The sequence below is a fragment of the Homo sapiens genome, chromosome 11 (genome assembly GCF_000001405.40).
Source record: "Homo sapiens chromosome 11, GRCh38.p14 Primary Assembly".
NCBI classification, from domain to species: Eukaryota; Metazoa; Chordata; class Mammalia; order Primates; family Hominidae; genus Homo; species Homo sapiens.
The window spans coordinates 74,803,137-74,820,615 of NC_000011.10; the positions used below are offsets into that span (position 1 = coordinate 74,803,137).

The following is a 17,479-nucleotide window of genomic DNA, read 5'->3' on the forward strand; positions in this document are numbered from 1 at the left end:
GAGTGCAGTGGTGCAGTCTGCTCACTGCAAGCTCCGCCTCCTGGGTTCATGCTATTCTCCTGCCTCAGCCTCCCTAGTAGCTGGAACTACAGGCGCCCACCACCACGCCTGGCTAATTTTTTATATTTTTAGTAGAGACGGGGTTTCACCGTGTTAGCCAGGATGATCTCGATCTCCTGACCTAGTGATCTGCCTGCCTCGGCCTCCCAAAGTGTTGGGATACAGGTATGAGCCACCGCGCCCAACCAAACACAAGTAATTTATATTAGAAGTCTGTGATAGAGATATGAGATATGTTCTGGGTGTTATGAAATATATTTTAAAATGCCTTATTTGAAATAGTGTGGCATGTATATATGTTTTAGTCTACATTCCAAGGATGGCTAGTTAACATCTTAAGTACTAACAGGGAATATACACTCTGGAGTAGTTACTTAGTGTTTAAAAGATTATAATCAGAATTTTCACTTCATAGGCTCCTATAAGCCCATCAATTATTTTAATCATCACCCAGCACCTGAGGTTTGTTAACAAGCATAACAGATGTTATAAATGATCTCAGAATTTTTGGTTTTTATAATATTCAACAGACATAAAACTGGGAAGAATAATAAAAATGAACCTCCATGTATCCATCACCTAGATTCAGTAATTATGTTGATAAACAATTATGAAGATAAATATTAATAATTTTTCATGAGGAAATGAGCATTATTCAAGATATGTGGATTGGCAGTAAATATTGTACAGGCATTTCTGCCCTTGCATGAAGAGAATTTAAGAATACAGTGAGAGAATGAAATTGGACCCATATCATATACTATATACAGCAGGTCATTGTTCAACAGTGATGTTATTTTGTTCAACATCATTTCATTATGACATTGATGAGAGAAAAAAAATCACTTCTCAGCCAGGGCCACTGTCTGCATGGAGTTTGCACGTTCTCCCCATATCTGTGTGGGTTTTTTCTGGATACTCTGGTTTCCTCCCGCATCTCAAAGATGTGCATGATAGGCGAATTGGCATGTCTACATTGTCCTAGTCTGAGTGAGTGGGTATGTGTGTGAGTGTGCCCTGTGATGGAATGGTGTCCAGTCAAGGGTTGGTTCCCATCTTATGCCCGGAGCTGCTAGGATAGGCTCTGGTCACCTGTAACCCTGAACTGGAATAAATAGGTTAGGAAACGAGTGAATAAATGAGTACAAATTTTTGTAAAATAACAATTTGTGAAGTGTATGATACTCATACAAATGGAGAACGATAAACTATGCAGTACGAAAGTGCTTGGTGAGCCTGTCATATCTGTCATGTTTTTGCACTGCATGGTGGTAGGAGGTGCTCTTTAGAGTTTTTCTTTGCAAACATGTATTCTTTGATTTAACCCACCGCCACTGCAACCACTATCACTCACTGATTCACCAAAAATTGGGTAATTACCTTGCTTGTTTTTATCTTTCTTAAATGTATGTGTAGCTCTCATTTATCTCAGTGTTTAATATTAGAAGTAGTTGGGTCTTTATTTAGAAGTTTGGTGTTTTTTTGTGAATAGAAATATGCTGTAGGAACTTAACTCTTTTATACCAGTTAGCCTGTGGTAAAACTGTTTTATTATACGTTGTTTGCTTGAAGTTTCAGTTTCTGAGAACCTATGGACGACGTTAAGAAATGTGTATCTAACAATGGACTTATATCCAGAATATATAAAGAACTCTTGCTAATCTAACTAGTAAGGTTTAAAAAAAAGGACAAAAGGTTTGAACAAATTCCACAAAATAAGATACACTTTCATGCAGTAGTAGTAGGAGTATAAAATATAACCACCATTGGAAACCTTTTGGCTGTTGTTCTATAAATTTAAACATACACTTAACTGTGTGATGCAGCAATTCCACTTGTAGCTATTTAGCCAACCAAAACAAAAACACCTGTCCACAAAATGACATGAATGTCCATAGTAGATTTATTCAAAATAGCCCAGAACTAAATAACAACCCAAATGTCCCACACTTGTGGATAAGCAAATTGTGGTTTATTCATAGAATGGGTTATATCTTATCCGTATAAAGGAGTGTCTTATTAGTAAACTCAGTAGCATGGATGAATTAGTCTCAAAAGTATCATGCAGAGTGAATGAAACTTGACACAAAGAAATACATCCTGTATATTTTTATAATAGGCAAAACTAATATAGTAATCAGATTAGTGGTAGCCTGGGGCTAAGTGGTTTGAGAGATTGATTGCTAATAGGTTCAAAAGGACTTTCTGGGGATGGTAGAAATGTTCTGTATCTTGATTAGGGAAATGATTACATGGATATATACATTTGACAAAACTCATTGAACTATACATTCCATATGTGTCATATTATATGTAGTCTTATGATATAAAAAATGAATTCTTAATATAAAAAATGAATTCTAAGTAGACTGAAAGGTCAAATAATAAGCTCGTTAAAGATAACATGGGAGAATATTCTGATGACCATGGGGTAAGCAACATTTATAAATGGGATAGAAAAGGCACTAACCGTAAGGTAAAAGATTGATAAATTGAACTGCATCAGAACCTGATACTTCTTGTTTTCTGAAGAGTACAGTTGACCATTGAATAAGAGAGATTTGAACTACGTGAGTTTATCTATATGCACATTTTTTTTTTCAACCCTACGGATTGAAAATCAGAATTCATGGATGCAAAATCTGCAGATACAGAGGGCCGACTTTTTATTTAGGCAGGTTTTGCAGGGCCTACTCTGAGACTTAAGTATGCATGGATTTTGGTATATGCGGGGTCCTGGAACCAATCCCCTACATATACCGAGCGACAGCTGTACTAAGATACTGAGAAAGTCAAGCTTCTGTGTGAGAGGGAGAAGAAGTATACATGTATATATATACACACACACGTACATACATATAAGATATATGTACATATGTATTCATATATTTTTCCTGACAATTGCTTCATATCCAAAAAATATAAAGAACTCTTACAAATTACTAGAGGAAAAAAACAAACATCTAAAAGAAAAAAGGGTAAAGATATCAATAGACACTTCATAAAAGAGGATTTCCACATAATAAACATGTGAAGCTGTTGTAGCTGTTGTACATCTTTAGTCATTAGAGAAATACAAATTAAAATAATGCAGTGCCAATATATACACATTGAAATGGCTAAAATTGACAAATAGTACTGAGTGTCAGCAAGGGTGGGAGCAACTGTCATTCTACACTGGGGAGGCAGGCGTGTAATCTGTACAACCAGTTTGGAAAACTGTGGCTGCGTACCTTATGACTCAGCAGTTTCTGTTCTAAGATACACTCCAGAGAACAGTGTGTATACCTGCATACATATTCCGTAATATTTTTGGCACTCAATTTATAAATAGCCAAAAGTAGAAACTACTTAAATATCCATCAACAATAGGATGGTTAAATTGTTTTATTGTCAAACAACAGAATACTATAAAACAAAACAAGAAATAATAAACTATTTGTACCTGCATGGATGAATATCACAAATAGAATGTTGAGTGAAGGCAGAAAGATTCAGTAAACATGTAAGACTTCACTTATATAAAATTCAGAAATAGGTAAAATGATTTTTTTTGGTGTTAGAAGCCAGGATCATGGTTTCTACCATAGTTCACTCACTTTTGGGTGAGGGGTGAGCATAAGGGCTGTATTGGTAATAAACTGTTTCTTGATCTTGGTGGTGGTGAATGGATAATTTATCATGTCTTACACTAATTATTTGTATACTTTTCTGTGTGTATATTATGCTTTGATTTAAAAAATTTTAGTTTTAGAAATTAATAAGGGAAAAGTAAAGATTCTTTTCGGGAAATAAATTGCTTAGTATTCCTGGTAGTGTGGCTGAGTATGAGATTAATGTGCAGATGTCAATAACTTTTCTCTAGTAATTAGCATCTGAAAATGGAAGCAGTAAAAATGACCTCATTTACAGTAGTGGATGGCTTCATTCTATCTCCTTGTTTAGGGTCCTGCTGCTTTTTAGCTCTATGGCTTTTCTGTTGTCTCTGCTGCAGTACCTGCCATGGGGACTTACTCAGGTTGTACAAGCCAATCAATGTGGAGTATTTAACACTCCATGGGGCACACTTTGGTCAATGGGATGTGGGAGCCAATAGATACATGCTTCCTTTTTTTTTCACCTCAGACTGTCAGTCTTGAGATACATTTCATATACCTGTAGCCAACTAATGGGCCAGCTATTGCAGCACTTTATATTGGCTCTCTGTCTTTTTTGGTTATGCTGCTCTGTCCTTCTACACCTTGCAGAAGTATTCATGCATAAACCTTCTCAGACTGCCCTGGTCCTCACAACAAAGAATTATAGAGCCTGGCATGTCAGTTGTGCTGAGGTTGAGAAACTGGTATCTGAAGTCAATGATTTGCTTTAAAATCCAGGCTCTTCAGTATTTAATGTCTATGATTTGAATTAAGACCATTGAGTCTTAATTTTTGTCTCTATAAAATAGTCATGATAAATAAATACAAACAGAGTCCTTAAGGATTAAATGAGGTAAGTTTGATAAACTTAATGCCTAGAACATAGAAGAGTTCAACAAACAACAGCAATTGATATTTTTTATTCACATTTAAAATGCTACTTTCTCACCCTCCCTTAGTCTTTTTCAGTATAAAAACTCTCTTCTAGAGACCAAGTTCTCAAATCCTTATAAATAACAACCAAAAGCAATGAAAACAAAGAAACAAAAACTTGTACAGAACTCCATATTGAGAAAACACCAACATGATTCATTTGAATATTTAAATGGATACATGATTTTTTTCACTTTTGTAAATTTTTAGCTAATGGTCTGTTAGCAGTGGCTCAGCATTGCGGTGAAAATGTTGTTTGCCAGCAACACAAGTGCGTTGTCAAAAACTTTGAGAGCAGCAGTAAAAATTATTAGGAAGCCGGGCATAGTGGTTGACTCCTGTGATAACAGCACTTTGGGAGGCAGGAGGATCATTTGAGCTCAGGAGTTTGAGACCAGCCTGGGCAACATATTGAGACTCTATTAAAAAATAAAATTAAGAAAAAAATAAACTATTTGGAGGCAGAAGGATACATTCTAAAACACTAGAAAAGCCAGAGAACATAGTATGTTAACAACATTAAGCACCAAACAAAATAACACTAAGATATATAAAACAGGAAATGTAATATTTAGTTTTCTTAAAAATAGCAATATTTATGTATATATTGGAGGGGGCTATCCTGTGCATTTAGGATGTTTAGTAGCACACAGACTCCACTTCCCCAGTTGTGACAATCAAAATTGTCTCCAGACTTGCCGAATGTTCTGGCAAGTTGGGGAGGGAGGCAGAATAATTCTTGGTTGAGAACTGCTGAGATAGACCTTGATTTGCATTCCATCCCCATGCCTATGGCAGTGTGAATTTAAACACGTTACCTAACACTTAAACCTTAGTTTTCTTAAGTGAGATAATATAGACATAGTGCTTGGCTAAGCACCTGACACGTAGAGTTCAGTAAATGATAATTCCAATGATGCTAAAACCTGTTCTCTTTTGAACCATTATGCTCCTCTGTCCTCTAAAAGTAAACCACCCCTTTGTATAGCCTGTAGTCAAGTTGTTGAATAAGGTCTTCTCATCTAAAATCTTCAGAAGACCTTAAATCTTTTATGTGGGCAGTTAGTGTAGACTATAGTTTTGTTTTCTCCCCAGCTGTGGATTTGCTTTCCTTTCCTCCGTGTTCCTGTTTGGATTGGGCAGAGTTGCCGGTACTTTTTTTTATTTTAATCTCCTCCTGGCATAGCATTGTGTTTGGTGTTCTTTGCATATTCATAACCTCATGAATTAGACTAATATTTTAAAGATTAGTTCAGGCTTACAAAAATCAGACCTATAGAAATCAGAAACATAAGGCTAAGGCTTTGTTGTTGTTTATTGTTGTGGGGTTTTTTTTTCCTGTTTTTGTGTGTTTGTTTTGTTTTGTTTTAAACCTGAGGCAGCAGCCTATCAAAAATATCCATTTGTTCTTTAGCTTAATTTTTTTCTTAAGAATAATTAAAAATATTAGTAGCCTATAATTGCTTTGATATACATCATCTTATTTAAATGTTATTAAAACTCTAGACAGTGAAAAAGGAAAAAAAGTAGAAATGGAATCTTGATGTACTATAGGTACACAGCAAGACTCTGTTAATAAATACTATTATATTGTTATCTCATTTACTCCTGCAGGTTAAGTTGCACTATCCCTCTTTTGAAGACAAGCAAATGATGCTTCCTTTGCTCACGGTCACCAAGGTTTTCATTCCAAAGCCCATGCTATTTTGATAATGCCATGCCACCTCCCCAAAATAAAGAGCATATCTCTCTGCCATAAATTTCTTTGTACAGCCAGGTTCAGTGGCTCATGCCTGTAATCCAGCACTTAGGGAGGCCTAGGCAGGCGGATTGCTTGAGCCCTGGAGTTCAAGACCAGCCTGGGCAACATAGTGAGACCCCATCTCTACTATTATAAAATTAGAACAAAATTTCTTTGTAGACCGTGTATCTTGACTTATCCTGTAACTGCAGGATAAGAGCATAAAAATGTAGGACATTAGAACTGCGTTAAGTCACTCTTTTGTTGCCAAGGAGGCCTCGTCCAGCTTCTCTGGCTTTCTGTGGCCATCTCTGCTCTTCTTCTAGTCCAATGCAGTTACATCTGGCTTATGGGAATAAGGAAGATTTTCAGGCTTAGCCCTTTTTGGCTATGTGACTATACTTTATTTTTTGATAATGTGTATTATCTTAGCTTTTATGATTTCATATTGCTTAAGAATGCAGAGCAGTTAAATCTTTAGCCCTGAAGAGTATGTTTGGCAAGAGCCAAGTAAAAGTAGATTTACTTAGAAATCAAGAGGGCTCTATAGCTGATAAGAAAAACAGTCTCAAAACTGCCATGTGATCTGTTTGTTCTAATAAACTACAGAGTAAAATATGTTTTTAAGTTTAGAGTTGCCTAAAACTACTGTGTTTGCATAATTTATATTTTTAGCTGAGAGAAGAAAAGTTACAAGAGGAAAAACCCTCTGAAGATCAAATCCACAAGCTGTTACCAGAGGATACAGAAACAGGGAAAAGGAAAATGGATGAACAGAAAAAAAGAGATGAACCATTAGTACTGAAAACAAATCTGGAACGTGTAAGTAAATCACCTTTTTAATGGATACCTGCCTCAAAAATCAGTGGTTAGCCCAGGTGACCTGGACCTGAAAGACCTATGTTGGTAAATTGTGAGACCAGTAACAGTCAGTGACTGTGCAGCTTAAGAGTAGTGAAGAACTTACGTCCAGGCCAGAGCTTGAGAAAATAATTTTTGAATGGGATATTAAGACTTGTGGGAAGATTAAGGAACAGTGGGAAAAGCAGGTGAGTGAGAGGAAAAACCTAGTATAGTTTACTACTTGTGATTAGATTTATATGTATGTTGTTATTTGGACTTATGTGTTATTTGACATTTAAGATTTGTACATTGTCTTCTGTCCTCAACTAGATTTTCTTAAAGCATGTATTTTACTTTCCTTTATTTGTTGTAATACCCTAAGCAGCACAGTGTAGATATAAGGTAGGTTTAGATACTTAGTCTATATTCAATTAGACTTCTAATTGGGCCAAATCCTGCCTGAGTTTGTTTCATTACTTATTTGCCAAGTAAATTACTAGAAAAGGTTGCAAGTTGTGTATTTAACTTACATAAGGAAGCACTTTTGGAGGATCCACTAATTATACCCAAATGGATAATCACAATTGAGTTTTATTTCTTTAGTAAGTCATATTGGATTGGACATATATTGCTTATGTATGTACTTAGCACATCTTTAGACTCCTATCTTTTAAAATATTTTGTGATTCAGGCTTGTTAAAATTTCAGGTTGTCTTTCTGGTCAGCTGGAATCGATAAAGCTTTACCATCTATAATGACAGGCAAGATAGCAGAGTGGAGGCAAAAAAAAAAATCTCTGGATCAGCAGTCTACCTCTTATACAGGTCCCAGCATTGTAACTGTTTGTACACTTCGGCCAAGTTACTTAATTTCTTTGTGCTTCTGGGTTTATTTATTTTTATTTTTCTGGAGCAGGGTCTTGCTTTGTTGCCCAGGCTGGAGTGCAGGGGTGTGATCATGGTTCACTGCAGCCTTAGCTTCCCAGGCTCAAGCAATCCTCCTACCTCAGCCTCCCAAGTATCTGGGACTACAGGCTTGTGCCACTATACCCAGTTGTATTTTTTGTAGAGATAGGGTTTTACCATTTTGCCCACACTGGTCTTGAACTCCTGGGTTCAAGTGATCTGTCCACCTCGGCCTCCCAAAGTGCTGGGATTACAGGCGTGAGCCCCTGCCCGGCCTTGGTTTTATTTTTGCAAAGGTGTTTTTCCTGAACTTAAAAAGGAAATTCTTTAAGCTTTCTTGGGACAGTAGTGTTTGCTGAGTGCCACATACATGTGCAGCTTCTGATTCTAGTTATAATAATAATTATTATTTAATTATTAAAAACAACCACTTAGATTTTACAGGGTTTCAACCTTCCAAAAGATTCAGTTTACAGGCATGAAGTGTGTGTGTACTCTTAATGCTCTGAACATTAGAAACCACAGAGGGCAAAAAAGACTGCTACTAGAGAGGCTACAGTTTAGCTAGACAAAAATAAGCTCTATGATGGTCTCGTGTATGTAGTATGTTGTATGACTAGTAGCTCCAGCTGTGGTCTGTAGTCTCTGAAGACCGCGGCTCTCCCTCTTCACCCTGACAGTTCTACCCTATTAGGGTCCTCAGGCAGAACAACCCAGAAGGATAAACTAGCCTTGATAGAGAGAGCTGACCCTTAACTATGGTCCTTTGATAGAAATAACCTGTTGTTCCTAGGTCATACCAAGACTAGGAAATTGCTCTAATTATTTTTGCATTTGCCACTACCATTTTTGAAATAGAAATCAAGTGCAGCCACCTAATTTTAATCTTAAAAGGAATCAGAAAGTACAAATTCTGATTTGTTCTTGATAACAGCCAGTTTTACAAATGCATTGAATAAAATCTGACCTATGAATGTGTCAAGTTTTAGATTTTTGTGATTTTTGCCTTTTTTTCTGTTTTCTTATATAGTTTTTTTTTGTTTGTTTATTTATTTAGAGACAGGGACTTGCTCTGTTGCCAAAGCTGGAGTGCAGTTGCACAGTCATGGTTCACTATAGTTTCGACCACCCAGGGTCAAGCAATTCTCTCTCCTCAGCCTCCCAAGTAGGTGGGACCACAGCTGTGTACCACCATGGCTGGTCAATTTTTATTTTACTTTTTTTATTTTGTAGAGATGAGGGTGTCCCTATGTTGCCCAGGCTGGTCTCAAACTCCTGGGCTCAAGGGATCCTCCCACCTTAGCTTTCCAAAGTGTGGGATTACAGGCATGATCATGCCAGTGTGCCTGGGCTGCTTTTATATTTTGGAGGACTTTTAAATGGCTCTAATTTAAGAGTTTTCAGTGTTGAGCAAATAATTCCATTTAGTTTGGCCAGACTACATTCAAATTGAGACCCAAAAGAATCTTAAGAAAGCTGACCAAAGGATTATTTTTTATATAGAAACTATTGTGATTAGAGCGAGACTGATCATTTCACTCTCCTGTCCCCCAAATTTTAATGACTCCTCTTTTCTTGTGAAATTAAATGAAGACTCTTCACCCCAACATTTAGGCCCTCAGTGTGATTCTAGCTTATGTTTTCATCCTTGCTTATACCCCAAAACTCTAAGGAGTATATATTTGCTTTCCCCCAAATACATACACTGTGCTTTCCCTTTTCAAGGTCTTTGCTCTTGCAATTTTCATCTCATTGAAATGCCATCCAGCTTACCTGTTGGAAGGTTATTTATCTCTCCATGTCCAGTTCAAAAGCTATCACATTCATGAAGCCTATAGGAGTTCCTCTTCTGTTTCTCCACTTCTATCAGCCACTCCCCCAAACCCCCACTTTGTAACTTTTACAAGAGTTCTGTCATTTTCCTTTACATCATGGTTTTTTGTGTTTGTGTTTCTCTACTAGATTGTAAGTTTGTTGAGTATAGGAAATGTCTTATCCATTTAAATCTCCTGTAGTACCCTGCACATTGGAAGTGTCTGATACATGTTTATGAAATTAAATTTGAATGGAAGGAGGAAGGAGCTTACTCTAGAAGCAGATTATCATCTGTTATTTTTTTAGAATAGAAATAAAGTGAGCACAGTGTTTAATTTATTACAATTTGTTATGGTACATTTAATCCAATAATAATGCGAATTATTAGAAAACAATTGGATACAGCAGTTATGGTTATACTAAAGACTAGAAAACAAAAAGGGAAAAATTACTTGTCATCCCACAACCTAGAAATGAGCCCTATAAACGTTTTGATACATATCCTTATAGATATGTACCATATGAACATATAGAACATATAGATACATTCATTTCTAAGAACATATAAATACACACCATATATTGTTTTTCTTTTCAGAAAATGTAACCTAGTATACATACTGTTTTTCTTTTTTGAGACGGAGTCTCGCTCTGTCGCCAGGCTGGAGTGGTACAGTGGCGTGATCTCGGCTTACTACCACCTCTGCCTCCCAGGTTCAATCAATTCTCCTGCCTCAGCCTCCTGTGTAGCTGGGACTACAGGCACGTGCCACCACGCCCAGTTAATCTTTTGTATTTTTAGTAGAGATGGCGTTTCACCATGTTAGCCAGGATGGTCTCGATCTCTTGAACTCGTGATCCGCCCGCCTCAGCCTCCCAAAGTGCTGGGATTACAGGCATGAGCCACTGCGCCCGGCCTAGATGCTGTTTTATAACCTGTTTTAGTTCATCTTAAGTTGTGGGTATTGGCCAGACGTGGTGGCTCACACCCGTAATCCCAGCACTTTGGGAGGCTGAGGTGGGCAGATCACCTGAGGTCAGTAGTTCAAGACCAGCCTGACCAACATGGCAAAACCCCTTCTCTAATAAAAAATACAAAAGTTAGCTGGCCATGGTGGCACGTGTCTGTAGTCCCAGTTACTTGGGAGGCTGGGAGGCTGAGGCAGGAGAATTGCTTGAACCCGGGAGGTGGAGGTTGCAGTGAGCTGAGATCATGCTACTATACTCCAGCCTGGGTGACAGAGTGAGACTCTGTCTCAAAAACAAACAAACAAAAAAAATAAATTGTAGGTGTTCTTTCTTTCTTGCCTTTTTTTTTTTTTTTTTTTGAGACAGGGTCTCACTGTGTCACCCAGGCTGGAGTGTAGTGGTGTGATCATAGTTCACTGTAGCCTCAAGCCCCTGGGCTCAAGCGATCCTTTTACTTCAGCCTCTGAAGTAGCTGGGACCACAGGCGCCTATTACATGCCTGACTAGTTTTTTTTTCAAGTTTTTGTTTTTGTAGAGACAGGGTCTCACTGTGTTGCCCAAGCTGGTCTTGAACTCCGGGGCTCAAGTGATCCACCCATCTCAGCCTCACAAAGTGCTGGGATTATAGGTGTGAGCCACCATGCCCGGCCTGTTTTTGTGTGTGTAAATAAAGAATCCACATCATTATTCAGTGGTCTTATAATATTCTTGATTGTAGAATTTATTTAAGTAATCTTTTATTGATATTTTGCTATCTTAAACACCATTGTGATGGAATCCATTTGTCTCATTTTTTTCTTATTAGTTCCTTAGAATAAATTACTAGAAGTAGAGTGACCAGGTCAAAAAGAGTGTTCTTTTTAACATTTTTGGTGTTTATTACAGTTGCCCTCCAGAAGGTTTATATTTATTATAGGTTTATTATGCTCCCACCAGTAGTATGTGAGGAGTACTAAACTAATTTCCTCACATCTTGCCAACTTTGAGTATTATCTTTCTTTTCCTTTTTTTTAGGTACAACATTGTTTTAGATGTCACTGCAAGGATTTAATTTATGCATGCTTTGTACCATTTTAGGAATCCATAGTACCTTGGGGCTTATTTTTATCAAAGATGAAAGATGAGGGGTAAATATTGGGAATAGAAATGTAGAGGGGTGGGAGAGCTTTTGTCTGAACAATTAGTTATATATTTGTAATGTAGTTTATTTTGCAATAATTGAAAGGAACTTGGCGCTGGGCGCGGTGGCTCACACCTGTAATCCCAGCACTTTGGGAGGCCGAGGCGGGCAGATCACTTGAGGTCAGGAGTTCAAGACCAGCCTGGCCAGCATGGTGAAACCCTGTCTCTACCAAAAATAGAAAAATTAGCCGGGTGTGATGGTGGGCACCTGTAATCCCAGCTACTCAGGAGGCTGAGGCAGGAGAATCACTTGAACCCGGGAGGCGGAGGTTGCAGTGTGCCGGGATCGTGCCACTGTACTCCAGCCTGGGCAACAGTGTGAAACTCGGTCTCCAAAAAAAAAGGAACTTGGCATATATCTGTTATAAAACGGAAATTTTTCTTAAAAGATTAATAGTTTTGAAGTTAATACAAATAAAATCTATCTTTTTGAGCACTTATTACTTGTTAGTTAATGTACGCTAGGTATTTTTAATGGCCTGTCACAATCTATATAGTAGAGTAGTCTTTATTTTACAGATGAGGAAACTGAGGCTCAGGAAGATAAAGCAACAACTAACCCACAGTGACAGTGATAGCTGACAGAGCTAGGATTTGAACACTTTTTACTTGGTACTGATTTAATTATGAAGAGAGGTTTATATAGACAGAAATTGCCATTATTCCCTATTGAGTCTATTGGTATCAAAGCTTATCTTTTTTCTAGAGTTGAGAAGAGAATATTATATAAAATTTGATAATGGGTTGGTGCTATTAAAGTTTCTTCATTGAATATTTTGTACAACAGAGTTCTCTGAGGAATGATACCCTACAAAATTGAAAGGCCTCTCTGTAAATTGTAATTCTTCAAATCTCTCTCAAAGGCCAGCTGTTAGCAAATATAGTCTATTGTGTCGCTGTGCCTGTCAGCCTAGAGAAAAACAAAGCATTTCAGGAATGCAGGGTACTCGGAGCCATATGATGCCTTGCGTGCCTACATCTACAACTCTTACTTTGATAATCATTTGATCATTAGATAATTGGTTAATCATCAGCTGAGCAGACAGTTCTTATTTATCTACTATGTAACAGTATTGGAAATTTTTTAAAAAGATGGTCACTTGCTCTCACAGGGCTCATTGCATAAAGCAGAACAGATCCCTAAATAAGAAGCTACAGTTCAGTGTGATTAGTTGCTATCCATTAAAAGAAAAAGACTCTCATGTTTAATAATGAGGCAAAACTTCATTACATTATATGTTAAAGACATACCTCTAAGATGTTTCTAATGTAATTGGAAAGACTCTAAAAAGGGACTCCAAAGTAAAACAACGATAAATGAATGGATATAAACAAGATGGAAAAACTAACTCTAGGATAATTTGGAAGCCTTTGCAGAAAAAGTGATATTTTAGATGACTCTGAAAGGCCAATTAGTATTTTATAGGCAGAGAGCAGAGACGGAATTTTAGGCAAAGGGTGTAGCATATCCAAATGGGTAGATAGAGGTTTTGAAAGACTGTGGTACGTGTGGAGAGTAAAAAGTAGTTTGGTTGTACTAGAGCTCAGGGAGTTCCATGTGTGGGAACTGGTAGGGGAAAAGCTGTGAAACAAGGTTAAGTCTAGTTTGTGAAGGTTGTAGTATCAGGCTGAGGCATTTAGACCTTACCCTGAAGTCACCAGCCGTTAAGCAGGGGAGTGATTGCTGGAAAGATAATTCTTGATGGTGTGGAGGGTATTATTAGAGAGAAGAAAGCCTGAAGAGAATGAGACCAGTAAGTAGATTGTTGCAGTAGTCCAGGCAAAAGATGATAAGAATCTAAGGTAAGGCAATGACCATGAATATAAATGGGAAGAGTTAGATCTGAGAGACTTTCTAGAAGTAGAATAGAATAGAGTGGAAATAGCATGGAGACAATTTGGAGACTAATGCTCTTAATTTAAGAACTAGTTTTATCCATGTATTAACCCTGTAATTCTAGGAAAATTAACTACTCTGAGCCTCAGTTTGCTATCTGTAAAAGACAGATAATCATCCTGCTTTTAATGGGAGTGACATAAACAGTAAATGAAATAAAATATTTAGAAGTGTTGGAGTACCTAAAGCCACTATCCAAATGTTACTATGAATTAGAAGTAAGGGACAGAAATAGATGGCATTTAGTTTTCTAGATGGGTTGGTGATGGGGCTTACAGAAGAGAAATATAGTGAGTTTGATTTTGGATATATTGAATTTGAACCACATTTGAGATTGGTATCTCCAGGAGGCAGTTGGAAACATAGGTTGGAGCTCACAGAGAAGCGACATAGAGAAAGAGATTTGAACCTATAGCTAGAGTAGATGCCTTGGGAACTCCAAATGGACAGTGTTGTCTCCCTTGTCTCCCTGCCAGTGTCCTGCACGTCTCTCAGATTCAGAGAATGAAGAACCTTCTCGAGGCCAGATGACACAGACACATCGCTCGGCATTTGTTTCCAAGAACAACTCCTACTCCTTAGCTTTCCTGGCAGGGTAAGAGACTGATGCTGAATTCAGTCAGGGGTCTTTGGTTTTGGGGTATGAGATAAAAGGGACTGGGGGAGCAAAGGTATTTGTTGTGGCTACTTTGGTGGGGAGGTGGAAGGGGAGAAAAGAGGTGGGAATTGGTTTTCAAATATGGACTAGGGAAAAAGGGCTGACCTGAATTTTTCAGGAAAAGTAACACCCCTTTTCTGATATCCTCAGGATAGGATTGTGCTAATTGCTGTGCTGCAAAGTGTGACCCTTTTATCTTGGGAGGAAACAACAAAGTCTTCTTCAGTCTGACAATATGCACAGACTCTCCCTCTGGACTTAGTAGGAAGTGAGGGCAGAACTGATTTTCTTTTCAATGCCTAGACCTAAAATATATCTTTATAGGTTTCAAGAGAGCAAACTGAAAAGTTTTTAAGACCTTTGTCAAGGAATCTCTTGATCCTTTAGACTTTGTAGGCCCTGGGAAGGAAAGGAAGAGGGAATTGGATAGATGATGGGTGCTAGAAGGATAATGAAGGGCTAGGTGGAGGAAAGGAAAGATGAATAGATAGGAGGAAGGAAGGGAAGCAAAGAAGAAATGGAGGAAAGAAGGAGGACTCATGCATACATTCATTCAACAGACATTTTGTGAACAGCTGCTACATGCCGTGCTCTGTTTTAATATACAGATGTAAAGATACAATCTTTTTTTTTTAGACAGTGTCTCACTCTGTTGTCCAGGCTGGAGTATAATTGGGCAATCATGGTTCACTGTAGCCTCAATCTCCTGAGCTCAGATGATCCTCCCATCTCAGCCCTGAATAGCTGAGACCATAGCTGTGTGCCACCATGTCTGGCTAATTTTTAAAACGTTTTTTGTAGAGACGAGGTCTCCTTGTGTTGCCCAGGCTGGTCTTGAACTCCTGGGCTCAAGCAGTCCTCATGCTTCAGCCTCCCAAAATGCTGGAATTATAGGTGTGAGCCACTGTGTCTGGCCAAAGAAACAATCTTCACCCCAGTTCATTTCCTGTTTTGTTTAAAGCTGGTATTGCTCACCCTTATCTCTAGGGTTCAACTCTTCCTTTCCACCAGTATTATTTAGTAGATCTCTCTCTCTTGCTGCTCCTGTGAATACACACCCAGACCCTTTCATTTTGGGGCTTTTTTGTTTGTTTGTTGTTTTTGTTTTGAGACAGGAGCTCTCTCTGTTGCCTAATTATTTAAAAAATAATTTCTGCTCTACCCTTCTTACATGGATTACTTAATGTCTTTATTTGTCATTATGTATTTGTACTGTAAATCACTTCAGATTCTTCTTGTAAATAGAGTGTAACCATACAAAGAAACATAATCAAACCAGTCTTCTTTCCAGTTTTTTTTTTTTTTAAAGTGATGTAGTAATGCCGGTAATGCCATTTCATACAAAATGGAATCTTAAGTAAATGGTTCCTAGCAAGATTCTGGCACATGCTAAGTCTTCAGTGAATATTGCTGCTGCTGCTGCTGCAATTTTTATCTTCTCTTGGAACATGGACTCTTGTAGCTGAAAAGGACCTTAAATATCATCTTATTCAGTCCATTTGTTTTATAAATGGAAGACTAAAGCCCAGAGAGAGAACATGGCTTGCCAAATCTTAGACTGCTAAAACAGGAGGAAACTGAGTTAGAACTGAGGCTTCTTGGCTCTGAGTTTACTGCTCTTTCTACTGTACTCCATACCTTCTTATAGATCCTCATGCTGCCTCTGTTCACCTTCTCCTCTAGACTTTAAACTCATCAAAGGCAGGGATAGCATCTTGTTCATCATTATAATACTTAGTACAGTGTCTGGCACTTAGTAAGGGCTCAGTAAATATTTGTGGAATGTTTGAATAAGACAGGCCTTGTGCCTGTTGGTAGGTTAAACTGGGGCTTTGTCAGAACTGACTGTCAAACATGCAGCAGAGGGCCTCTAGGAGGGAGGGCTCTAGGAGCTTAGATTGGCTGATGGCTGTTTTTTAGATTAGATTCCATAGGATTAATATGGGATTTAGGGGGAAGTCTAGTGACCACATTGATAAAATTTTTATGTTATGAAGTTGCTTTTTAGCCTTCGAATGCTTTAGCAATAGTTTATATTGATACTTTTTATAGATGCTATAAAAGAAAGATCTGTGTTCTACTTAGTAGAAATTAACCGTAGCTACATTGTTTTGTTTTCTAACGTGCAGATACTTTTAAGCCTGAGTCTCTGGTGGATCAGAGTGTGGCACATCAGGGGACTTAAAGTGGCTGTGCGTTCTATACAGTGTATGTATAAGGACAGATATAGACAGAGACTTACTGACAGAGTCAGAGATACTAAACACATGTCCAGCCAGTGTTAGAGTGAATTGAAATCTGAAGACCCTCTGGGAAATAGGTACCCTTCCTTAAAATTCACAGATGAAATACAAAAGCATTCAGGTAACAGAAACCAAGCAGATGCATAAGTGATGTGATATTGGAATACTAGCTTCAGGATTGAGGAAAAGAAGCAGATGCAGAGAACTAAGGGGTGGAGTTTTAGGGAAGAAGTAGCATTGTGACCTTGAGTAAAATCAGTTGGCTCTCCTTCAGTCTCATCTAGGTAAAATTGCAGAGTTATGCCTTACCTACAAGCTAGGGCAGGGGGGTTTACTCTATGATTTCTTAAGATTCTTCCTCTAAAATGGAAATATCTAGAGGTGGCTTAAACCAGAGTTTTGAAGGATGGAGGAAATGAGGCCAGGGCATGAAAAGAAAGGGGGTGGGGGCCGTTAGGAGGTTGTAACAATAAAGATCAGACTTAAGTTGTGTGTGGGGAATAGTCAAACAGTGGCTTGAGGGAGAGGAGATTATGAGAAGATGATGAAGCAGTGAGTTGAAACAGCAAGGCTTGATGATGGCCTGGGGTGTGTG

The 17,479-nt window shown here is 38.1% G+C and overlaps 1 protein-coding gene across 3 annotated transcripts in view, besides 1 other annotated feature; it reads left to right on the forward strand.

The window, feature by feature from the left end:
- Positions 1-17,479, forward strand: part of RNF169 (ring finger protein 169) — a 93,565-nt gene that overhangs the window by 54,288 nt on the left and 21,798 nt on the right. For all 3 annotated transcript variants that reach the window (XM_011544889.4, NM_001098638.2, XM_047426707.1), the window contains exons 3-4: positions 7,048-7,194; positions 14,460-14,578. In XM_011544889.4, the coding sequence (XP_011543191.1) occupies positions 7,048-7,194; positions 14,460-14,578 (266 nt within the window). The remainder of the gene's footprint in view (positions 1-7,047; positions 7,195-14,459; positions 14,579-17,479) is intronic.
- Positions 9,345-9,533: a silencer, noted in NCBI's record as "fragment chr11:74523526-74523714 (GRCh37/hg19 assembly coordinates)". NCBI's record gives its function as "represses an EF-1alpha promoter that drives an FKBP-Casp9 reporter gene in an ReSE screen in HepG2 liver carcinoma cells {active_cell/tissue: HepG2}" and the evidence as "EXISTENCE:reporter gene assay evidence [ECO:0000049][PMID:32094911]".